This window comes from Homo sapiens, chromosome 21 (assembly GCF_000001405.40).
Source record: "Homo sapiens chromosome 21, GRCh38.p14 Primary Assembly".
Taxonomy (NCBI): domain Eukaryota; kingdom Metazoa; phylum Chordata; class Mammalia; order Primates; family Hominidae; genus Homo; species Homo sapiens.
Genome location: NC_000021.9, coordinates 43173984 through 43198431, shown reverse-complemented (window position 1 = coordinate 43198431; position 24448 = coordinate 43173984). Strand labels below are relative to the sequence as shown.

Below are 24448 nucleotides of genomic sequence, written 5' to 3'. Positions count from 1 at the left end.
TCTTCCGTTTGCATTCATGTTTTCTGTTACATGCTTGAGCATATTTATAATAGCCATTTAAAATTCTTTTATCTACTAATTCTATCATTCCCATCATTCCTGGGCCTGATTTGATGGACTGATATTTTCTCCTAGTTATGGATCACAATCTTTGCTTCACATATCTCACCATATTTTATTGGGTGACAGGCATTTTGAATATAACATTGATAAACGTATAGATTTTTTTTTCCTTTATAAATAGTGTTGACATTTGTTCTGGCAAGTAATAAAGTTACTTGCAGATGAGGTTGATCTTTTTGAGGCTTGCTTTTACATTTTTTTGGGGTTATCTAGAGTTGCCTATACTCTAGAGTTAATTTATTCCTACTACTAAAGCTTGATCCTTTGTATTCTCTATTTTTTTTTCTTTTTTTTTTTGAGACGGAGTTTCACTCTTGTTGCCCAGGCTGGAGTGCAGTGGCGCGATCTCACCTCACTGCAACCTCCGCTTCCCAGGTTCAAGTGATTCTGCTGCCTCAGTCTCCCGAGGAGCTGGGATTACAGGCATGCGCCACTACGCCCAGCTAATTTTTTGTATCTTTAGTAGAGACGGTGTTTCTCCATGTTGGTCACGCTGGTCTCGAACTCCTGACATCGGGTGATCCGCCCATCTCAGCCTCCCAAAGTGCTGGGATTACAGGCGTGAGCCGTGTATTGTCTATTGATTGCCCCAAGTGCTCTATGAGGTCTCCAACTGAATAGAAGGAGTTCAAATTTCTTGCAGCCTGGTGTGAGTTCTAGGAATTGTTCAGCTTAACACCTCACTGTTCTTTATTCACTTCCTGGAATTCCACCTACGCATGTACAGATTGGTATTAAGTGAATGCTCAAAGGGACCTTATGCAGGTATTTGAGTTTCTTTATTTGAGTATCTTCCTCCTCTCTGCTACCCTGTCTCACCTCTGCCTCCCCATAGCCCACTCTTCTCAATTCAGCTAGATCACCATGTTGTGCTTGGATTCCCCCTCCCTGCCTGACAGTATGAAAACTGCCTCCAGCCAGAAAACAGAGTTGATTGCACAACTTACTTCATTTTTTTCCTATCTCTTAGGGATGCCAGCCCTGCACAGCCTTTTGTCCTGATGTCCAAAGCCAGTTGTTTTGTCTGCTTTGTCCAGCTTTCTAGTTCTTTTGGCAAAAAACAAAAACAGAAACAGACAGCATAAGTTCCATCCTAGCTACTCCTTCATGGCTGGCTGCAGAAATTCTGAAAACTGTTTTCTGTGTTTTTAAAATCACTTTACTTCCTTGGGACTCCTTAGAATTGTAACTTGAGAAGGTCCAAACAGATAATTAAACCACCTGTGACAGATACGTGCTAAGCGCCTGCCAGTGCCGGATCCTGGGAGGCTGACAGGGATATACAAGAGCCCCTGGGCTTGGCTTGACGAAGAGGGAACAAATCTGGGTGTGGCCATCCAGGAATAGAGGCCAAGTCAGGTTGCAGAGCAGAACAATAAGGGATTCATGCAAAGCCCTTCTAACAATCGTTGTTTTGTTACTTTATGTGACCGTATTTGCTCCTTCTTTCAAAAATACAAAAAGTAAAATGCAGAATGTACAAATGTGTGGCTCTCCCTAAAGTGGGATGAAGTTGGGATTTCCCATGGATGCGGTTCCTGGAAAAGCCACAGTTGAGTAGAGTAACCTGGGTCTGTCCATTGCAGGGCTTCACAGTTCTGGGAGTAAAGCGCTTTCTTCTGAATTAGCAGATCTTTGTAAAGTCAAATTTCAGGAACATTTGATTAGACCTAAAGACAGCTGCAGGCCGTGCACCATGGCTCACGTCTGTAATCCCAGCACTTTGGGAAGCTGAAGCAGGAGGATCGCTTGAGTCCAGGAGTTTGAGACCAGCCTGCGCAATATGGCAAAACTCCATCTGTACCATAAATACAAATATTAGCCGGGCGTGGTAGCACACACCTGTAATCCCTGCTACTCGGGAGGCTGAGGTGGGAGAATTGCTTCAACCCAGGAGGCAGAGGTTGCAGTGAGCCAAGATAGCACCACTGCACTCCAGCCTTGGCGACTAAGCAAGACTCTGTCTCAAAAAAAAAAAGAAAGAAGAAGAAAAAGATAATTGTGTTAGACATTTGCCTGTGCCCACAGCCCTCCCTAGGGAAAGATGCCCACAAACGCTGCCAAGTAGCCAGGCCTTTGGCTACCATGTTTTATACTCCTCGACCCTAGCCCTTCTCCTCCAGTTCACTGGAGTGGATGCCTGACTCCAACAGTGACTCCACATGCCTGCTGGTGACTTGTAGAGCATCCTGCGAGGGAAAAATTCCTTTGTTTAAAAGGAAATGAACTAGTAAACACCAAACGAACGAGACATTTCACAGTGACAAGTGAAACTCAAAAGACACCTAAAGAGATAGCCAGGAGCTAGGAAGGGGCTTCGTCCCACAGCCAACCCCTCTGTGAAAAGGAGGGCCTCAGATCAGATCTTCTCTCCTCATGGCCCCTTCCCGCCCCTTCCTTCCCCACCTCCCACCGCTCAGTCTCTCTCCCTCTGTTCACTCTTCCCCAACCCTCAGGCACTCCCCGCTCTGAAAGTGGGCATGCCCTCCCTGGTGCAATGGGCCCCACGCTTTCTCGCAATATCCTTTCTAATACATTCCCCCGTGACTTACGTCCAGATTTGTTTTCTATTTGACACTGTCAAGGGCTTCTCCTGTCCCCAGGACCCCTATCCACGGGGCTGCAGAACAACATCTGGCCATTTCCTGCCCTGCTAGGCCCCCTCCTCCCTGAAGCGCTGCTCAGACCCCAGTCCAGACACCCGCCTCCCCCGGCCTCCCCCGCACACCTCCCGTCTGTCCTGACACAAGGGAACCTCCCCGCTGCCCCTTCGGAGATAACAGAGATTTGACAGCACGACCACAGTATTCCTGAGCTTCCAGTTAAAGTCAAGTCCGTTGTCGCCACTGCCTCCACGTCCGCAGCTGTTCCACCCGCTTTCCTTCCTTCATGCATGAAGGTCAAACCCAGGCTTGGCCCTGCATGAACCCAGCAGAGAGGATTCCAGAGCTGTCTCCCCAGAGCCCTCCCCAGCAGAGATCCTGACTCACCCCAGGACAGGAGGGCTGAGGCCAAGAGCGCCGCTTCCGGATGCTTCCTCCGCATTCAGCTTCCAATGTCCGCCCTGCCAAGGCGCCCCTCGGGAGCAAGCAGGAGCCCGTCCTGGGGGGACATGTCCCCTGCTCTCCGCTGAGACCAGAGGGCTGCTGCCGTGAGGAAGGAATGGAACACCACTAAGGCACAGCAGCCACGAGCTGGGGATCAGACACAGAGGAAAGGCCACCTACAAATAGTCACTGGAGCCAAACCCTGGTCTCAGCCACGAGCAGTGCCCCACATGCGAATGCACCCATGGGTGGAGAGTGTGATGAGCCCCCTCCGCAGAAAGCACCCGAGCAGCAGCTAAAACAGGCTGATCCCAGGCCCCAGACCTCAGACTCCAGCCTTCATCTGCGACCTGGCCCTCGGTTTCGCCTGACCCTGCCTCTGTTTGCAAAGGGCCGGCTGGGGCCCCTGGACGGGTTTCCGTTCTCCTTTCTTCCTCTCTGTGCTCCCCTGAAATTTCCCCACAGGCCATCAGCCTCAGGCTCTGAGACCAGAATGTCACCTTCCCGTCACATGCAATGTGACGATGTCTCTAGTTATTTCCCTCCCCACAGCACAAAGGGTGGAGGAGGCCTGAGAAATGAGGAGGGGGGAGGTGCGTCCAGGGTGCAGCAGAGTCACTCTCACCTCCGGGGTCCGGCTGCCGGCATGGAGGTCAAGGTCCGCAAGAACGTCCTCTTTCCCCACTGCAGCAGGCAGACCAGCATCACAGAACCATTCTAGGAAACAGCAGTTCCCGTCCCCTCCTCCTTGCTTCTAAATGCACGGGGCACACATCAGTCCCCCCACTCCTTCAGGTGGCCCAGGTGATCAAATCAGCCAGTTCCAGAGAAGGGTCAACTTTGACAGCCCTGGGTAGGGGACCCAGATGCCCTTTGATGGGTGTCAAATGAAACAAATCAGCATATAGGCGAGGGGGCTTTATCGGAAAGAACACTGAGAGGCAGGATGCTCCATCCAAGAGGCCCACAAGCTTCCGGAAGGCCAGGCGGGGACGGCTCCTCTCATGGGAGGGGAAAGGAGGGAGCAGGCTTGGCAGGGTTGTTGGCGGGGATGGATGGGCCCAGGCAACAGCAGCGTCCGGAGGTTCCTGGGGCTGAATCATTCTGAGGTTTGCTACTGGGAGGGAGGGAAGCTGATTCGATTCTGAGACATCTGGGGAAGCCCAGAGGCCCCAGGATCCACACCAGGAAGCAGCCAGAGGGGTGCAGAGCAGGGCCTAGAGGCCACAGCTGCAGGGCAGGTGGCTGTGTCACCAGAACCCTGCTGGCAGCCCTTCCTCCCCAGGGAGCTGTGTCTGGAGAGGGAGCTGTGGAGAAGCGCTAGGGTAAGACCCAATCGTGCAGTGGTCCTGAGCCCGCAGGGTGGGTGCCCTCCTAAGGTGAGGAAGGGACAGCAGAGCCAGCCCCTGCTCTGAGGACCCTGTGGGAACCAGGAGGGGCCTCGCCAGGCCCAAGCCCCCGTCCCGGCTGTGGGATGCCCAGCCGCAGAGCAATGAGGAATCCAAGTTGCTGCTGAACGCCCGGACCATGGTGCTGAGTTCTGGCCGCCCCAGCTCACCAGCAGCGTGGTGGTGGCGGCCAGGAGGATGGAGCTCAGACACCTGGCCCCACACGCTGCCATGCAGCCCAGCCTCAGGAGGCCACCATCCTACAGGCAGGCCCCCAGACAGAGGGGCACGGGCACAGGCATAGGCCCCAGGTCCCCTGGCCATGGAGAAGGCATTGTGTGAGTGTGTGTGTGTCATGAGGTGTGTGCAGTGTGTGTGGTATCTGTGTGATGTGTGCAGTGTGTGTGTGTGTCTGGGTGTGTGATGTGTGCAGTGCGTGTGTGTGTGTCTGGGTGTGTGTGTGCAGTGCGTGTGTGTGTGTGTGTCTGGGTGTGTGATGTGTGCAGTGCGTGTGTGTGTGTGTCTGGGTGTGTGATGTGTGCAGTGCGTGTGTGTGTGTGTCTGGGTGTGTGATGTGTGCAGTGTGTGTGATGTTTGCAGAGTGTGTGTGTGTCTGGGTGTGTGTGATGTGTCCTGTGTGTGTGTGTGTCTCTGGGTGTGTAATGTGTGCAGTGCGTGTGTGTGTGTGTCTGGGTGTGTGATGTGTGCAGTGCGTGTGTGTGTGTGTGTCTGGGTGTGTGTGATGTGTCCTCTGTGTGTGTGTGTGCGCACACGCGTGCATGTGTGTATAGCCCCAGGCCCTGGTTTGTCTCCTCTTGCCCTCTGGAAAGTAAGCACAGCCCCCAGCCTGGCCATCCCCTCAGGGTCGCACCTGGAACGAATGCCACCCACAGAGCAGCTCCCCCCTTTCTGGAGACTGAGCTGCAAGCTGTGGGTTGGTGGAAGCTCGTGGTTGGTGGAAGCTCGTGGTTGGTGGAAGCTCTAGCTTGGTGGAAGCTTTGCATTGGCAGAAGCTCTGGGTTGGTGCAAGCTCTGGGTTGATGGAAGCTCTGGGTTGGTGGAAGCTGTAGGTTGGCAGAAGCTATAGGTTGGTGCGAGCTCTGGGTTGATGGAAGCTCTGGGCTGGCAGAAGCTCTGGGCAGAAGCTCTGGGTTGGCAAAAGCTCTGGGTTGGTGGAAGCTCTGGTTTGACGGAAGCTCTGGGCAGAAGCTCTGGGTTGGCAGAAGCTCTAGATTGGCAGAAGCCCTGGGTTGGTGGAAGCTCTGGGTTGGTGCACGCTCTGGGTTGGCAGAAGCTTGGGGCTGGCGGAAGCTCTGGGTTGGCAGAAGCTCTGGGCTAGCAGAAGATCTGGATTGGTGGAAGCTCTGGGTTGGCAGAAGCTCTGGGTTGGCGGAAGTTCTGGGCTGGCAGAAGATCGGATTGGTGGAAGCTCTGGGTTGGCAGAAGCTCTGGATGGAAGCTCTGGATTGGCGGAAGCTCTGGGTTGGCGGAAGCTCTGGATTGGCGGAAGCTCTGGGTTGGCGGAAGCTCTGGATTGGCGGAAGCTCTGGGTTGGCGGAAGCTCTGGGTTGATGCAAGCTCTGGATTGGAGGAAGCTCTGGGTTGGTGGAAGCTCTGGGTTGGCGGAAGCTCTGGGTTGGTGGAAGCTCTGGGTTGGTGGAAGCTCTGGATTGACGGAAGCTCTGGGTTGGCGGAAGCTCTGGATTGTTGCAAGTTCTAGATTGGTGGAAGCCCTGGCTTGGTGGAAACTCTGGCTTGGTGGAAATTCTGGGTTGGTGCAAGCTCTGGGTTAATGGAGCTGCTGGAGTCCACTTAGGTCCAAAGCTGCTGTACTGGTACACCTGAGTGTCTGGTGAGAGAGGTCTCCAGCAGGAGAAAGAAAAGAGGAGGCTCAGGGTGAGCCTGTCTTGTTTGACTCATTTGTACCAAATCGCACTGGATGGCAGTTTTATCCCGTACAAAAATGAGCACATGTCACATTAGCACTAATTGTTGTGGGGAGGAAACAAATAGCTAATGACTAAAGGTGCGGAGAAGAATGCTTGAGGCACTGCTGCCATTTCAAACCCGTACGGCGCACCGTGCCCTGGCCAGCTGCCTTTGCTGCTAATTATGGGATCGAGCCCAGGAGGTAGGGGAGGTCCCCTCTAATGGAAATGGGTCGCCTCCCTCCAGGCACTGGCAGTCCTCCCCTTCCTCTCCCCGTGCTGGCCACACCCCTCCCTCCCACCTGACACCCTGTTCCTTCTGCCCCTGTCCCCTTCACACATCACACCTCTCCTTGGAGTTGAAATCGTTGTTCCTGCCATGTATTCTCTCTCTCATCCTTCAGTGGCCCTGATCAGTCCACTGTAAGCAAAATGACATCAGAAAACCCATGTGTTAAAGAAAAATCCTTCCATTTACCAGAAGGTCTGATGAGGATGCTGCTAAGTGCTGAGTCCCATGTCTTATTTCCAATAGGTTTGGATTGACAGGAATGGATTGGGGCTGTGGCTTTCCAGGTGGCATCTCTAAATCAAGGCTTTGTGCACCCTGCCCTGGGGTCTGGGTAGTGACAGGAGTGCCACTGTCATGTTTTCTGGGGCACCCACTGTGTGCACGTGAGGGGTGTGTGTGCCAGCACAGTCAAAACTCACAGCCCCTTGGGAGTGGCCTTGGCAGCCCACAGGTGTGCCAGCATTCCCAGGAAGCCAACGTGACCTTTAGTCCAAGATGCCGCCAGCCCTCTTCCAGGAGGTGGGCACGGTGGGTCGAGGTGGCGGCAGCACTGGCTCCTGGGTAGTGTGGCCTAGGTGGGCACTCACTGTCTTGAGGAAGGGATAGAAAGCGCTGCAGCTCCTAGACCCAAGCAGGCTGAGCTGTTGCAGGGTAGGGGGATGATACTGACAGTGGCAGTGACCCCAGAAACAAGCAATGAACCCCAGCCCCACTTTCTGCAGTTGTGGCTAAGAGCCCAGTGCACTTCCTGTATCAGGAAGGGACCAGAGGAGGGTTCAGACTGTGGATGACCAGGGTTAACAGCACGACATGGACGTCCACAGGCAAGGGCTGGGGCTCACATGGCATCTGCACCTAAGGGACAATTGCTGGGCATGTGAGTATTCACAGGGGCTGCAGTCTGAGAGCCCCGCCAGCAGGGGCTTGGAGGCAAAGTCATCCCAGCAGAGAACCATCGATATAAAAAATGCCTGCAAAAAAAAAAAAAGCCAAAATATGAAAGTCACGGGCAAAACACTTCATAAAAGAAGAAATACAAAAAGATACTAACTCACGAAAAGATGATCAGGTGTGGTGGTTCATGCCTGTAATCCCAGCACTTTGGGAGACCAAGCCAGGAGGATCAGTTGAAGCAAGGAGATCAAGACTAGCCTGGGCAACATAGCAAGATTCCAACTCTACAAAAGAGAAAAAAGAAAAGATGCGTAGCCTTATCAATAATCAGGGAAATGCAAATTAGTAGACAGTAACTCAGGCAGACTGCAATCAGAGCTCCATGTGGGAAAACCATTTGCCACGATCTGGTAGAGCTGAGCACAGGTACACCCCATGACACAGCGATTCCACCCCTAGGACCCACAGAGACTTGTGTAATAACACTTGCAGCAGCATTTTCTGCAATAGCCAAAAATCAGAAGCAACCCTGATGTTCACCAGCAACAGAATGGATAAGTCGATAAACAGTGGAACACTATATAGACGCATGAAAACAAATGGCCCATGGCCACGCACAGCTGTGGGGTGAATCTCACATGCAAGACAAGACCAAGGGAGAGAAGCAATCCCATCCGGGTCCACGCAGTATCACCTTGTTTACCTCAAGTTCCAAAACCACAAAAGGAAGCATGATGTTGTTTAGGGATGCATTCCCACCCACATGGAAACCCTAAGACAAAGCAAAGGAATGAACATCACAAAAAGTCAAAATGTCTCTTACCTGCAGGGTAAGATGCAGAGCCACACAGCCAGGGGTTTTGATCTGTTTCGTCTGCGGCTATATCCCAAATGCTTAGCACAAAGCCTAGCACATAGCAGGGACTCAATAAAGACTTGCTGCATGCATGAACGAATGAATGAATGAACGAATGAGATGCGATCCCAAAGGGTGCACAGGCCACTTCTAAGGTTCTGGTTAAGGTTCTATTTCTTAATCTGGGAAGAAGTTCCCCTTTTTTTTTTTTTTGAGATAGATAGGGTCTCACTTTGTCGCCCAGGCTGGAGTACAGTGGGACGATCACAGCTCACAGCCTCTGCCTCCTGGGCTCAAGCAATCCTTCCACCTCAGCCTCCCAAATAGTTAGGACCACAGGCATGCACCACCATGCCTGGCTAATTTTTGTATTTTTTGTAGAGACGGGGTTTTGCCATGTTGCCCAGGCTGGTCTCGAACTCTTGAGTTCAAGTGATCCTCCTGCCTCAGCCTCCCAAAGTGCTGGGATTATGGGCGTGAGCCACTGCACTCAGCAGGCTAACCATTCTTTAAAATGTATATCTGTATTGTATGTACTCTACTGTATGTAGCATATATTTTACAATAAAAATAAAATTGTTTTAAATCACAAAAGCGTTTGAAAAAACAGTAGTCTGGGGACAACGTGTATTTATACACGAAAGACATCAAATAACGAAAGCCCTGTGATTTTAGAGCAAAAAATAGACAGACAGAAGAAAATAATGAGTACAGAAAGTTCAGGGAAAGGGTGTGGAGCCATTCTTTTTTCTTTCCTGTATCCCCGAAGAGCCCAGCAAACTGAGTTGGGTTTTGCTCCATTTCTTGGCAAATGCAGAGAAACACCACGAGCTTGCCAAGGGAGGTTGGCATGGGCACTCTGTAAAATGCAAGATCCTCCCAGACCCGGTGGGGGCCGGGAGGGAGCTCTGCCACGCCAAAGAGCTCCCGGCCGAGCCAAGCTTCCCACAGGGACGCAGAGGCAAGGCTGCCAACTGGTACAATTACCAAGGGGGCCGGGAGAGCATCAGCCTAATGTCTCTGCACACAGAAAAGAGAGAAGAGGAGTTAAGAAGGGTGGTGGGGGCGGGGGAAGAGGAAGAGGAAGAGAAGAGACGTTCTCAGCCCTCAAGTAGATGAATTAGAAAATCAAATCAAATAAAAAAGGAACCAGAAGAGACCACACCTCAAACATCAGGAAATGAAAGTAACGTTCCTCACACCTGTAATCCCAGCACTTTGGGAGGCTGAGGCGAGCAGATCACCTGAGGTCAGGAGTTCGAGACCAGCCTGACCAATATGGCGAAACCCCATCTCTATTAAAAATACAAAAAGTTAGCTGGGCATGGTGGCAGGCCCCTGTAGTCCCAGCTACTCGGGGGGCTGAGACAGGAGAATAGATTGAACCCGGGAGGTGGAGGTTGCAGTGAGCCGAAATCACGCCACTGCTCTCCAGCCTGGGTGACAGAGCAAGGCTCTGTCTCAAACAAAAAGAAAGTAACTTTCCTATGTGTTGGGTTTCCCACCTCAAGTTGTGGCGAGAGCCACCCCACAGGCCACTGCTTAGGTCTGAGGGTGGCGAGGAGTGAGGGTGCCCAGCCGGCCACCCCATCAGGGGATGTCCTGGCTCTGTGTTTTCAGACTCAATGACCAAGGGCCACAGTAGGAAATAAATTTTCCACCATGATCCAGTGTGTATCGCATGTGTGTGCCTGTGTGTGTAGCACTGAAGTAAAGGTTGTGAACCAATGTATACTTCCACTCTACTCTATTCTATTCCTTCTTTAAAGATGCTGGTGGAGACCCACTGAATTAATTTCATGAGCCACCCATGGGATGTGAGCACAGCTGGGAAAAGATCTCAAGGTTTTGATCCTGGGATCTATGCACAAGCTTGCCCCAGCCCACACACTCCCTGAGTGTATGTGAATGTGCCTGTGTGTACACATGTGTGTGTGCATTGCATGTGAGCACATGTATGCATGTATGTGCATTCATGTATGTATCTGTGTGTGCTCATGTGCATGCATGTGTGCACTGTGTGCATGTCTGTTGTGTGCATGTGTCTATTGCTCATGAATGTGTGCTCGTGTGTGCACTGTATGTACATGTGTGTATGTGTTCGTGTGTGTGCTCATGTGTGTGCACTGTGTGCGTGTGTTGTACATGTGCGTGTGTGTGTTCATGTATGTATGCCCATAGGCATGCATGTGTGCACTGTGTATGCATGCTTGTGTTGTATGTTCATGTGTGTGTGCCTAGAAATGAGTCCATGTCTTCTGATCATATTTTCAGAGGTGTCCTTGATCCTCCAAACCCACCCCAGTCCATTATGTCACAGAAGAAGAAACCGAGGTCCAGGGAGGCCTCAGTGAGTCAGGGGCTAAGCAGAGGCGGAAACCTCTTGACTCCTGCTCCGAGCCGAGCACATGAGCCTGTGACTCAGGGCCCAGTCCCTGCTGAGGAGCCTCCAGCTGCCGCCTCAGGCCTGTCTGGACTCCCTAGGAGACCTGCACTGTATCTGCACACTGTCTTGCAGTAAAGGTTCCCAGGCACTGACCGCATCGGCACTGCCAGGAATCCTGGGCAGCAGCCCCAGCAGACCCCAGGGCTGGCCTGAGTGTCCTGTGGAGCCAAGCCCTGGGCCCAACACCATCCATGGGGCTTCAACTGCTCAGCTAGCTATGGTGCACGTGGCACAAGACCCATAACAGCAGGACCCACGGCAGCCCTCAGAGCGGTGGCCAGGGGATGGGCGGGCAGGAAAATGGAGCCACGGAAGGATGAGGCCAAGGACCAACCCAGTCAATAAAACCAGAGACCTGCACAGAGCCAGCACCAGCTGCACCCGAGGCCACAAGAAAAGAGCCCCCAGCACGGGGAGAATTCATGGAGCTCATGAATATTTTAATAGGGCTTTACAGAAAACAGTCCTGGGTACCTGATTCCCAGGTGTCTAATTGCTAGAGTGGCTGCGTAATGACCAGCAGGGTATGGAGGCCTGGGGCAGACCCAGTCTTGAAAGAACGGTTGGCTCCTGCTTTGGAAACAGAAGCCTCTGCTGAATTCCACCCTGCCACTGGCCCAGGGGCCTCAGCCTCTGGAGTCCATCTGCTGAGTGTGGAAGGGTGACAATGACACCTGCCTCCTGCTCCTCCACACCTGGCCCATGGGCCGCATTCAAGATCAGTGAGTGTCGGGCCCAGTCCCCTCTCCTCTCGCTCCACCTCCTCCTCACAGGGCACCTGTGAGTGGGGCCGCAGGACCCTGCGGGGGTAGCAGAGGGTTCGGATGCTGAGCAGGGAATCACCTGCCGCCACGTGGCTGATCCAATGCAATCATTCTATCAGAATCCCTGGACTATACAGGGCCAGGCCCTCAGCCAACCTGAGGGTAAGCCATCACAAGCACCTGCTGTTGGGTGACCTGCAACCGGTTATGTCACTCTGGTGGACGGGAGTCCCACCAGGACCAAGTGAGACACATTCAGCTGTGGGTTACAGAAAGACCAACCCCAACTGGCTTTTGCAAAACCAGAAAAATCCAGAGATGGTTGGACGTGGTTCCCTTTCTCAGGGGTTTCCCCAGCTCTGCCATCTTCCCTGCATGGGCTTTGCCTGGAGGCTGCCACAGCCCAGGTCTGTGCATGACCATGTCAGACCAGGAGGGAGAAAGGTCACCTTGCCCACGCTCTCTGTGGGAGGGGAAGCCTCTTCCCAGAGCTGCACTCACTGTTCCTGCAGCTCGGCGGTCGGGACAGATCGCCCAACCTGAGTCGGCCTCCATCTAGGGAAACACCAGGTGCGGACTGCAGGGAGCACCCATCCCTGAACCCACAGTCAGAACAGACTCAATCCCAAAGCAGCGCAGCTACCCCACAGCTGGAGACAGGAGGCCGGGGACATGATCACGAAGCTCACGTCGGAACAGCATGGACCAAACGATGGTTTCGGCCACATCCCAGTTCCCAGATGTTCCAGACAACCCTCGCATGCGAGACCATCTTGCCTTTGGTGTTCAGATCTCACACATCTGGGTCTGTGCATTTACAGATGCCCTCCCTGGCCCTTAGGAAAGGCTGGCTCAGCCCACAGCGTGCCCCTGGGGTGGTGGCCCCTCCACCCACCTGACTTGGGCACTGCTGTCCTCTTTTGCAGGTTGCATCTCAGCCTCTCGAGGTCAGCCTCCTTCTCCTTGCCTTGCCTCTCTGTCCCATCCCAGGGCATGGAGCCCTCCCTCAGATCCCTCCCAGGGATGTAACAGGCACCAGGCCTCCCTGAAAGTTTGGGGCCCTTGAAGGGAACTTGATGTGAGCAACCCCTGCTTTCCATGGGGGCTCAGCCTCCTCCTGCCCCAGGAGTGACCTCACCCACAGCAGTGAGAGAGCCCTGAGCATGGCTCTCCCACTCCAAGTCCAGGCTTCAACTACTCAAGAGACAGCCAACATCTGCCTCTAGGTCTTCATTCCCTGCCCAAATATACCTCTTTGGAGCACGATTGGTTGGGCAGATATTCAAGGACATTTGCAAAACATTCCCATCCACAGCCAGGTGAGCTTTCCCTTTGACCCCCATTAAGAACACAGAATTCTCCAGGCATGGTGGCACATGCCTGCAATCCCAGCTACTCAGGAGGCTGAGGCAGGAGAGTTGCTTGAACCTGAGAGGCAGAAGAGCTGAGATCACACCACTGCACTCCAGCTTGGGCGATAGAGCAAGACTCTGTCTCAAAAACACAAACAAACAAACAAAAAGAACACAGAACAAGAAAGGCCAGCATTCAGCATTCACACATTCCCCAAGGTCTGTCCTCATTCTATCCCTTTATTCTCCTCTCCTATCTTGCTTTGCATTGATTAAAAGTTTTGTAAAATTCCTTTATTCCATCTATTTTGAAAAGTATCTTTTTAAATTTTAGCAGGCATTGCTAACTTAAAGTCTAAATATCTCTACAGAATAGCACAAAATCCTGGTCATCTTTAAATCCCACCTGACCAATGTTTTAGATCACTTTAAAAGCCATCAAATAGAAGTCCTTTGGTATGTATCTTTTGTATGCTGTTGGTGAACTTCTGGTTTTTGTGTATCTGAAACATCTTTATTTTGCTATCATTCTCGAGTGATAGTTTAGCTGGGTATGTAGGGGACTGATTGTTCTCTCAGCAGTTTGAATATAGTATCCTTCTGTCTTCTGACTATATAATTAACAATGACTTTACTTCAGCACATAGAAAAACTTACTCTATCCCAGGGTTTCTGATGAAAAGCTCAAGGTGCTTATCACATGAACTCCAAACTTGGTCTTTCCGGGACTAGCCAGATGCTGAAATGTCTGCCCAGCTCTCAGCCTCCAGCTGTTCCTGCTTTCTGGGCTTTCTGGAGTCTTGGCTTGCACATGCAAACTTTAGTTATCAGCCAAGGGTTTCAGGGAAATTTGTGCTAGATTTAGGAGCTCCCCTCTCTGTGGCTCCCTTTTTTTGTTGTTGTTTTTTGGCAGCCTTGAACTCTGGCCTCTGACCTCTCAGCCCAACAAAACTACTGTTCCACTTCAGCTCCATTCCATATGGGGCGGTCTGAAGAAGGATCTGAGAACAAAACCCAGATAAGCATGGCTCCCTTTTTTGCAAGGGTCATACCTCTTTAGCTTGAGTTTTTTTTTTTTTTCATGCTTTATGTCACTTTCCAATGCCTTCAAATAATGGTTGTTTCTATTTTGTCCAGAGTTTATAATCAGCAGGAAGGTTAGCAAAACTATCATTTTCCAAGAAACTGGAAGTCCTTGGTCAAGTTGGTTTAACCTGAAATGGTAGCACATAGGGGGTTATAAATTCATCAGAGGGGAGACGGTACCCGCCATGGCACAGCTTCGAGACCAACGGCAGCTTCCCTCCATGTGTTCTCTCCCAGCCTTTTGTTGCTTCCTTCTCATTAACCCATGCTTGGAAAGAACGGGTACCTCTTCCAGGTAGTGAGGAAAGAAATATCTGATGTAAAGAAAACATAACCCACGGAGACACGGAGAAAACATAACCCACGGAGACACGGATCTGCTAAAACCCACCCACAGTTTACACCACTAAAGGCTTCCAGCCAGGGGCAGTGGCTCACACCTGTAATCCCAGCAATTTGGGAGGCCGAGGCAGGTGGATCACCTGAGGTCAAGAGTTCGAAACCGGCCTGACCAATATGGTGAATCCCTGTCTCTAATAAAAACACAAAACATCAGCCAGGCATGGTGGCGTGCACCTGTAGTCCCAGCTACTCAAGAGTCTGAGACAAGAGAATCGCTTGAACCTGGGAGGTGAAGGTTGCAGTGAGCTGAGATTGCACCACTGTACTCCAGCCTGGGCGACAGAGTGAGACTCTGCCTCAAAAAGAATTAAAAAAAAATAAAACAATATAAATCTTCCAGGTCTTCCAAGAACAGAAACATGTCCCCCGGCTACACATGTGCAGAACCATGGACGTCCCAGAGTGAGCAGACAGTCATCCCCAAATGCAAACATGAATCTGTTCTGTGCAGAAGCTGCCTCCAGCTTTGAAGTAGTGGTTTCTTGTGTCTCCTCATCAAGGATTTGCAGCGACTTGGGCTCCAGTCTCCCCCAGGTTCCCATATTTCCCGAGTTGTCTGTTTTAGCTGTGCTGATGACACGTCGGCCTCTCCAACCACGGCAGTGGCCTTGGAGGACAATTCAAAACCATCAGGCCCTTAAGGACAGGATGCAGATCTCAGCAGGCCCCGTATCCTTTCTCACCGCTGTTGCCATTGTTGTTTCAACCTCTACTTATGTGCCGCAGCATAGCAGACTTGGAAAACGACGGAGACTGTTCCATGTATTCTTGTTAATTAGCTACACTGATTTTTATGTGACTTTTTTTCCACTTTCAAATTCCATCCCAGGGGGAAAAAAGTTTCTTGGATCCAGTCCAGCCCTCCTCTGGTGAGATGGTTAACATCTCCACCCCCACAGCCCTGCTCGTGACAGGTGCACACAGGCACAGCCCAGCCCAGGAGGTCACTATCTGATACCTTCCCAAAGGTGCACACCTGCGGGGACTCGGGGAAGAGCAGCTTGTTGGCATCTCTGGAAACAAGTGTGAACCACGGAGCTGAGTTCGATTCTGAAATCAAAGGGCAAACAGATAATGACGTTGTCCCAGGGAGACCGGCCATGCTTCAGCCAGGCCTCCATGCACCAGGGGTACCTTCCTGCCACCCAGTCGTTCAGAGATAGCCTCCAATGCCCCACCCAGGAACCCACCTGCATGGAATCAGGCGAGCTCATCCCTCCAGATGCTGCTGTGTGCAAACGGCGACCTTGAGAGAAAGGGCAGAAGGGGAAGTCAAAACACAAGACGGCAGAAGACAAAATCCTCGCGGCTGATGGAGTGAAGAAGGATGCACCAAAAACTATGAGAATCAGCAACACGAGGGCCACATCCATGCCGTGAATGAAGTGCCCCGGGCGTGCAGAGGAAGTCGTGAGACTACAGAGGCCGCGGTGGCATGGGATGGCTCCTGACCCGCTCCAAATGACAAGCGCCGCTTCCACTGCTCCCACTGGGTAACCTAGACATGCCTTTGTCTTGGTCATTGCACTCAGCCTGGCCTCATGTGACCACTGGGTCTTCTCTGCTGGTTCATCCCTATGGTATGGTCACTCACAATTGGTAACAACTGCAGCCCGTCCAGGTGGAATTGGTGTGGTTAAGACATCACCACGCACGCGCCATACACAAATGGAGGCCAACGATTGCTTCTTCAGCATGCATGACCCGGTTCAGGGCCTGACCACTCACCTCCAGCAGGTTTAGACAAATCAACCCTCCCTCCCAGCTCAAAATATTTTTGGTTTCTATATTCCAGTCTATGTTCATCAAAGATGACCGAGGAGCGTCTGTGGACTCAGCACGAAAAAGCTGTCTGACTTTCACCTATTCAGCAGAGAAACTGGCAGGGAAGTATCTTTTCTTCTCTTTTTCAGGCAGCCTCAGAAAACTAGAAAACGTAGCTGAAATAATTCCCCCTTTAAAACCCACCCTGGTGGCGAGCCCACTGTCTTAATTTGACTGCCTCAATAATTAGTCAAACGATATGGGTGCTCCCCCTCGCCGGCGAGCCTCATCTCCACCCGCTTGCGTGCTAATTTGCCAAAAAGCTCCAACTACATTTGCATATTTTTCCATCTAATTTAGCCTGATCACAATTTAGAGCAGGTGCAGCTCCAGCAGGCAGCTTGAGCAATCAGCCAGGCCCCGGTGGGCTGCGCGGGAACTCATTTAAAGGGCCCCTGCCTGTCGGGGCTGGCACAAACCATGCTGCAAGCCCATTCCACACACAGAGGGGCAAGCTCGTGGACTGTGTTGGTTGTCCCCATCAACATTGCCACTTAATGGGCACTACGCACTCAGGACCCCTGAAGAACTGCAAGGGTGCCAGGGAATGCCCTCTGCCCTTCATGAGCTCAGGCCTGGGACACCTGAGTGGCCACAAGGCCAGGGTACACATGTGCTGAGCCGTCTGGGGGCCCTGGGGCCACTGCCCAGCTGTGACCAGCAGCAGAGCCTTGATAGCAGCTGCCAGCCCACCCACATCCCCTCGGCGGCAGCCCGCGCCTAGCAGGGCCCAAGGAGGCCCTGGAGTCAGCACAGGAGGAGAACCGGGTAAGCTGGAAGTTCAGCAAATGCCTCGAGGCCAGGCGGAGGCACAGTCGCACTCAGCACTGGCATCTGTGAGCCGCCTGTGTTCACACGTCTTGCATTTAGCGCTCACGGGCATCACCCAGCTGCCAGAAGAGCCTGCCTGCCGTGCCCCCACCCAGAACCCAGGCTTCCCACTGCTCTGCCCACCTGCCAAAGAAGATGGTCCCTGAGACCCCCTTCCCCGAGGGTATTCTGGACAGAACCCCTCACCCTGGCCACTGTGCACGTCCAGACCTGGGCTAACACGGGAGTGGATGCATATCAGGAGTCACAGCATGGAGTGGCAGCAGCTCCAGCAGATGAAAGGTCACCCCTGGGATGCCTCTGATGAGGACGGGGACCCGCCATGGGCAGCCCCAAAATACAAAGTCTCCTATCCAGTTCCAACCACGGCCTGCCCTGGCTGACACTGGACATTTGCCACCAGGGGCCCACAAACGTGGGTAAGTTCCCTGCAGAAACCAAGTACCTGGGCTCAGCCCACTCACAGGGACACACACACACACATCTACACACAGCCACTCACAGGGACACCACACTCATACACACACACACCTACACACAATCACTCACAGGGACACCCACACTCATACACACACACTCACACACACAGCCACTCACAGGGACACCCACACTCATACAAACACACTCACACACACAGCCACTCACAGGGACACCACACTCATACACACATACACCTACACACACAGGGACACCCACACTCATACACACACACACCTACACATAATCACTCACAGGGACACCCACACTCACACACACACCTACACACAATCACTCACAGGGACACCACACTCATACACACACATCTACACACAATCACTCACAGGGACACCCACACTCACACACTCACAGGGACAGCCACACTCCCACACACACACATAACCCCCTCACAGAGTCATACACACACCCACACACAAAACCACTCACAGGGACACCCGCACTCACAACCACTCACAAGGACACACACACACCCACTCACACACACCCATACACAAACCCAGAGACCCCCCCCACACACACACACACAACCACTCATGAGGACACCCACACACACACACACAGGGACAGCCGCACTTACACACACATACACAGGGATGGACACACACACAAACCACTAATGAGGACACCCACACTCACACCAATCACACACTCTCACAAGGATACCCACACTCACATACAGGGACAGACACACTTACACACATACACAGGGACAGACACACACACACACAACCACTCAGGGACATTCACACTCATACCCACTCACACACGTTCACAGGGACACCCATACTCGTAACACACTCACACATGCACACATACACATTCACTCACACACAGGGACACACACACACATGCTGTTACACACAGGGACTCACACACATTCATTCACACAGGGACACACACATGCTCATACCCATGCACAGGGACTCACACACACATGCTCACTTACACCCATTCACAGGGGACTCACTCACAGGGACACACTCACATATGTATGTGGAACCTCATACGCACACACTCACACTCACCCCCACTCACAGGGACACCCACACTCACACATTCTCACACATACACACCCACGGGGACACACATGCGCAATGAATATCAAAAACAGTCCCGCCAACCTCAGAGGTTCCTGAGAGGAACGTGTACAATGGCGTATGTGAAGCGTCCCCAAATGCAAGGACACAGGATCTCAGGGACGTCATCCATACTTGTCATGGGTGGAACAGTGTCCCCCAAAACATGTGTCTAAGTTCCAAACCCCAGAACCTGGGCATGTGACCTTATTTGGAAACAGAATCTTTGCAGATGTAATTCAGTGAAGCATCAAGGTGAGATCGTCCTGGATGAGAGCAGACCCTAAACCCAATGGCTGATGTCCTTTAAGGGGAAAGGACACAGACGGGAGGGGAAGGCGGAGGCAGAGACTGGAGCTCAGAGGCTTCCAGCAACCGGGAATGCTGGAGGAGGTAAGGAAGATTCACCCCAGAGCCTCCAGAGGGAACACGGCCCTGCAGATACCTTGATTTCGGACTTCGTGCCTCAGAGTGAATTTCTGTTGTTTTAAGCCAACCAGCTTGTGGTCGTTTGTCACAGCAGCCGTGGGAAATTCCCCACAGCACTGCTGGATTCCAGCTGGTTCATTGCAGAAACACCCTTTCCGACAGCCACAGGCAGGGGCAGGCAGGAAGAGTGAGCAAGGGGGCTCAGGGGGAGAGCCGGGGCTCCCCGCTTGGCTCCTGGCACAGGCCACATGGCTGCAGGCCACTTACTTAATTGGGTTTCTCATCACCGAGCAGGTAAGAGCACTGCAGCTGCCAGCAGGACCCCTGAGCCAGCTCCTGTGTGGAGTGCAGCCCAGCCCCGTACAATCAAAGGCCCAGCACTTGGCCATTACCGGCTGTCAGAAATAAGTCAGCCACCAGCTCCTCCAAGGGCAGCCGCTGCCTTTTATCACCATCAGAGAGCCACTGCCAGGGTCATCGTGGGGTCTCAGTGTTCCTGCGAACGGCAGATGGGATTTGGCGTGTCCTGCCTTCCCACCCCAGTCCTCTAGGTCTGACGTGTCTTCCCCAGGGGGCGCCCTGTCCCCTCAACAGCCAGCCATCTGCAATTCTGCGTCAGGGCCTTCGGGAGCCCTGCTCGGAGACCCACACTGCTCTGGAAAGCAAGATTTTCCAGCCAGGATGCTTTGGAAATTGATTTCTCTCACTCCTGGCCAAGGTAAAGGCACAGCGCTCACAGGCTCCCGGGGCAGACAGCTCTGCAGAATAATGAGCCACCCCCTCTCTTCACTGCCCCTCCTTCCCGGTGCCCCTGGGGCGTCCTTGAGCTGCCACACGGCCCCTCCCTCATACCCGCTCCTCCCTCGTGCCGTCTCTGACGTCTCTGCAGGTGGCACGAGGAATGCCAGGGCCCAGGCAGCTAGATGTCAAAGAGGCTGCTGAGCAGCACACAGGAGGGGGCTCCCCTAAGCTGGAGGGTGGAAAGGGGTCTCTCACGGTCAAGTACAAATCAGACACAGAGGGCAGCCGCGCAATGAAGTAACAGCCCAGAGCTTGGCCATGGCCATGATAGTGGTGTGTGCGTCTTCCTGTGGGCTGTGTGAGTGTATGTTTGTGTAGGTGTGCATGTGGGCATTTGTGCACGCGTAGGTGTTATGTGCTTCTGTGTGTCCGTGTGTGTCCACATGTATTGTGTGATGTGTGTACATGTGTTTGTATGTTGCATGTGTGTTTGTGTTGTGCATTTGTGCGCACATGTGTGAGGTGTGTGAGCATGTGTTTTGTGTGTTGTGCACGAGTGTGCATGGTGTGTTGTGCATGGGTGCACACTGTGCAAACATTGTGCTTCTATGTGCATGTGTGTTCTGTGCATATGGGCACACTGTGTGTGTGTGTGCATGGATGCATGTGTATCTTTCCTTCTGTTCTGTTCTAATGGCAGCAGCCTGCACAGCAGGTTTGGAGCCCGCCCACATTTCCTGCCCCTGCAAACTCAGTCCTTAGCCCAGGGTCTCAGAGGAAATCCCACAGAGCAGGGCCTTCTGGCCTCCCCAGCAGCCTGGGAGCTAACGCTGACGGAGCCTTCACTAGCCCCTGCCAAGGGTCCCTCCCCTGAAGGGAGACTCCTTTCCCAGCTCCCATCCTGGAGGCCAAGGGCAGAGCGGGAGGCAGGTGCCTGCCCTGTAGAGAGAAGGCCGCCCTGCCCCCAGCAAGCAGCTCCTTGTCCCTCAACCCCTCGGCTCTCCTGATGCCTCCTCCTTCCAAGCTGGCACTGTCTGGCACCTGTGCCTGCATCTCTGTCTCAGCCCCTTCTCAGACAGCCACATGCAGCCTTGGCTGGCAGGACCTCTGACCCTGTGACCCCAACACCGCGTCAGCTGAGGCTGCCTGCCAGGGACACTTACCGCCCTGCCCCACTCACAGGCCTCTGCGGATGTGGGCGGGACGGGGGCTGCTCTTCACAAGAGGCTTCCTAGGAAGAGCTGACCTGGGCCGGAAGCCGGGGAGTGACGTCATTCTGCGCGGAGGAAACCCCGCCAGAGCCCCCAGGGACCCCAGCACAGCCCTGGCCTTCCAGACAGTGACGCCTCCTTTTTCAAGTGATTTTACACACAAGCAAATGAAACCCCAAAACTGCTCATGGTAAAGAAACACCGCTGGCTTCCAGCACGGCTTTTGTGTCTTCCCATCTCAGTCTCCCCTGCTGGACACTAGCTCCCCGGGGGTCAGGGTGGGTCTCCCACAGCTTGGCAGCACGCAGTCCAGAGGCTCCCGGAGCCAGGCCCTCTGCGGATGTTTGCTGCGGCCGCTTCCCACTGTCTTGAAGAGTGAAGGTGACCTTTAAGGCTGAGGTTCGGCAAGTCTCCTGCGGCCAAGGTCTCGGCGGCCAGGCAAGTCCTCTGCTGCCACCTGGTGGTAAGTGTGAGGCACGCTGGTGATGATTGAAAGGAACTGGGGGCTGGAGGCTCCCCGCAGGCACTCGGTCTCCCAGCTTCAGCCGACTGGCAAAGACGGACATCGAATACTCAGAGGGGTTGATAGATCTGTCCAAAGTCACCCAGCATGTCACCAGAAGAAAGGGACCAGTGCCTCAGGCTTCCTCAGCGCCTCCCAATTTTCACATTATGTGTGACATTGCAGTAATCATCTGCCCAGCGGTGCTGAGCCCTGGCTTTGGGGTCAAACAGACAGGGTGCACCTGGCCCAAGCCCTCACCAGCTGGGGACACCAGGCAGGTGACTCCATTTCTAAGCCTGGGTGTCCTCAGCTAACAATAGAAACAGGCTACAGGCTGCTGTGCAGGCTGCATGAGAATTGCCGTTACAAGCGCAGCAGGCGCAAGGCCTGGCATACAGCAGGTGCTCCATTAATGCTTTTCCGGCTGCTGCTCATAATGATGATGACAATGATGCCCAAGGTGAAAACGGGAGCAGAGGAGAGCGTGGGTCATTTTCACTCCAGAGTCCAGCGTCCCCAGCAGTGGGATGAGGGAGAGCCTCCCTGGAGATCGAGAAGCTGAGCCCCAAGACTGGAAAGGCAGCTTCCAGTGAGACTTCTCTCCCCCGCTGCCCCAACCTGAGGAGGCGCCGCTGTCCCGCAGCATCTCCCACTTGCACCTGATCATAGGGCTCACCTGGAGGCACCAAAAGCCCAGCTCCCTGGACTCTGCCCCTCCAGACTCTAAGTGGGTGTGAGCGGGGCCCAGGAGTCTGTATTTGCAATGCACTGCAGGTGGTTCTCCCGGCCTGGCAGGCTTGGGAAGTACTGGCCAATCCCATCTTTCCACGATGGCCGTGTGCCCTGGTGAATGGGGCTGGACACTGGCACGCAGAGCTCTCTGAATTCAACCTGAATGCATACCAGGGAGCAGTGGGGCAGTCAGACCACAGGGGCCTCAGACGCCAGGCCACACAATGGGAAGCGGGGGAGAGGTGATCAGAGCCTCGGCCCTCTGAAGGCCAGGCGAGGGAGAGGGAGGCCCAGAGGGCAGAAAGCTGGCAGCAGCACCCACGGAGAAGGCTGGTGTGAGTCCCAGGCCTAGCAGTGGGTGGGCAGAGGCGAGCTTGGAAAGGAGGCAAGGGGAGCAGGCATCCTCCCGGCTTCAGAAGCTCTCCAACAGCAGCCCATGGGAGCCATGTGGGTAGGAGCAGCCACCAGAGAGCCTTGGCAGCTGCTCAGACTCCAGGAAAGTGGCTGGGCACCATGGCCAGAGCTGCGCCCTGCATTAAAGCTCACATCCACGTGGCCTCCTGCCCTGGCGGGGCGGGCATGGTGGGGGTGGAATCTGGCCACTCACCTGTGACTCTGAAGGGGTCTTGGGTGCAAAGCAGCCCCAGGCCCCAGCACAGGCAGCTCCTGAGGCTGGGCCCGTTGAGATGACTTCAGGGTGGGAGCCTAGGTCTCCAGGCCTTGCCATTGGCTGGCTGGGGCCTTGCACAAGTCCCTGCTGAGCCTCTGTCTCATCTGGACAAGGTGGTGATGAGGCTGCTGTCAGATGACCGTCAGCTTGGTGCCTGTGGGGAGTCCGTGTGACCTTGGCCTCACAGTAGCCATGGTGACAGTGAAATCACTGAAATCACCTGGGCGGCCCTTGCAAGGCAGGCTGTTCCAGAATAGGCCCCAAGGTGGGAGGAGAGGAGATAGGGGCTGTGGCCAGCCTGGGATGGAGCCAGGCTCTGAGCCCTGTATGGACAATCTCTCAGGCGTATCTAGCCTACCCCAGGCCAGAGGTGAAGCAGCCCCAGGCCCCTGAGTTTAAGAACCGCCCGGGTGGGGTGTGATTGGAGAGCCGAGGAAGGATGGCATCAGGAGGCCCCAGGAGGGGAGATGGGAGGTGTCACGCTGCATGTCTTGGAGGCCAGATGAGATGAGAGCCCCTCCCCCCACCCCCTCCAAGTCCTTGCTGAGCCTGTGCTGCTGGAAGACCCAACTGGGGGAGCAGAGGAGATCAGACAGCCCACCAGCCAGGGGAAGTTCTGCCTGGGCTGGCCCTGGTGCTCCGTGCGACTCTCCAAGGAGCCTGATCGAGGATCTGGTGAACCACCCACGGGCCTTGCAGACCCTGCCAAGGCCTAGCCAAAGGCTATGTCTTTGGGCCTGAATGCGTCGGTTCCCGCAGCTGCAACGCCACAGCTGCGGCTCCAATGGCAGACATCGTTTCTGCCGGGTCCTGGAGGCCGGGAGTCCAAGGTCAAGGGGCAGCAGGGCCGGTTCCTCTGGGGCGTCTCTCCTTGGCTTGCAGACAGTGTCTCCTCCCTGTGCCCTCACGGGGTTGTCCCTCTGTAGGTCTGTGTCCTCATCTCCTCTTCTTACAAGGACACCGGCCAGACTGGGCCAGGGCCCACCCCAGTGACATCACTTCAATTTAATCAAAGCCCCCACCGCCAAACACAGTCCCATTCTGAGCCTTTGGGGGTAGGACCCCATATAATTTTCAGGGAGTCACCTTCCAGCCCCTAACAAGGTCCAGGCAGGACCCGCAGTCAAGCAAGGCTGCAGGCGTGAGTGACAGCTCCATTCACTGTGCAGCCGGTGGGACGGGACCCGGAGCTACCAGATGTTGGGGTGGGCCCGCCTCCCTGCAATGGCTGCCAGGCTGTGCAGAGCAAAGGTGTCCGCTCAGCTGGTCCGGGACAGACCCAGGAGGAGCAGGGAGCCCCAGACACCCCGATTTTCAAAAACATCCAGCCGCAGCCCCAAAGCACAGTGGGTC

At 53.9% G+C, this 24448-nt stretch overlaps 2 long non-coding RNA genes across 2 annotated transcripts, besides 3 other annotated features; both read right to left on the bottom strand.

The window, feature by feature from the left end:
* Positions 6780-7279: an enhancer, noted in NCBI's record as "H3K4me1 hESC enhancer chr21:44611263-44611762 (GRCh37/hg19 assembly coordinates)". NCBI's record gives its function as "activates a minimal SCP1, AML or CMV promoter by ChIP-STARR-seq in primed H9 embryonic stem cells {active_cell/tissue: H9 hESC(primed)}" and the evidence as "EXISTENCE:reporter gene assay evidence [ECO:0000049][PMID:30033119]".
* LOC124905025 (uncharacterized) lies at positions 6815-7866 on the bottom strand. The gene is made up of 3 exons (XR_007067886.1): positions 7830-7866; positions 7634-7749; positions 6815-6907 (listed from the first exon to the last, which is right to left on the bottom strand). It is a non-coding gene; the product is annotated as an uncharacterized LOC124905025 (long non-coding RNA).
* Positions 7280-7781: an enhancer, noted in NCBI's record as "H3K4me1 hESC enhancer chr21:44610761-44611262 (GRCh37/hg19 assembly coordinates)". NCBI's record gives its function as "activates a minimal SCP1, AML or CMV promoter by ChIP-STARR-seq in primed H9 embryonic stem cells {active_cell/tissue: H9 hESC(primed)}" and the evidence as "EXISTENCE:reporter gene assay evidence [ECO:0000049][PMID:30033119]".
* Positions 13363-22214, bottom strand: LOC105372821 (uncharacterized). Its single transcript, XR_001755074.3, has 3 exons — positions 21141-22214; positions 15769-15824; positions 13363-15628 (listed from the first exon to the last, which is right to left on the bottom strand). It is a non-coding gene; the product is annotated as an uncharacterized LOC105372821 (long non-coding RNA).
* Positions 22062-22599: an enhancer, noted in NCBI's record as "H3K4me1 hESC enhancer chr21:44595943-44596480 (GRCh37/hg19 assembly coordinates)". NCBI's record gives its function as "activates a minimal SCP1, AML or CMV promoter by ChIP-STARR-seq in naive H9 embryonic stem cells {active_cell/tissue: H9 hESC(naive)}" and the evidence as "EXISTENCE:reporter gene assay evidence [ECO:0000049][PMID:30033119]".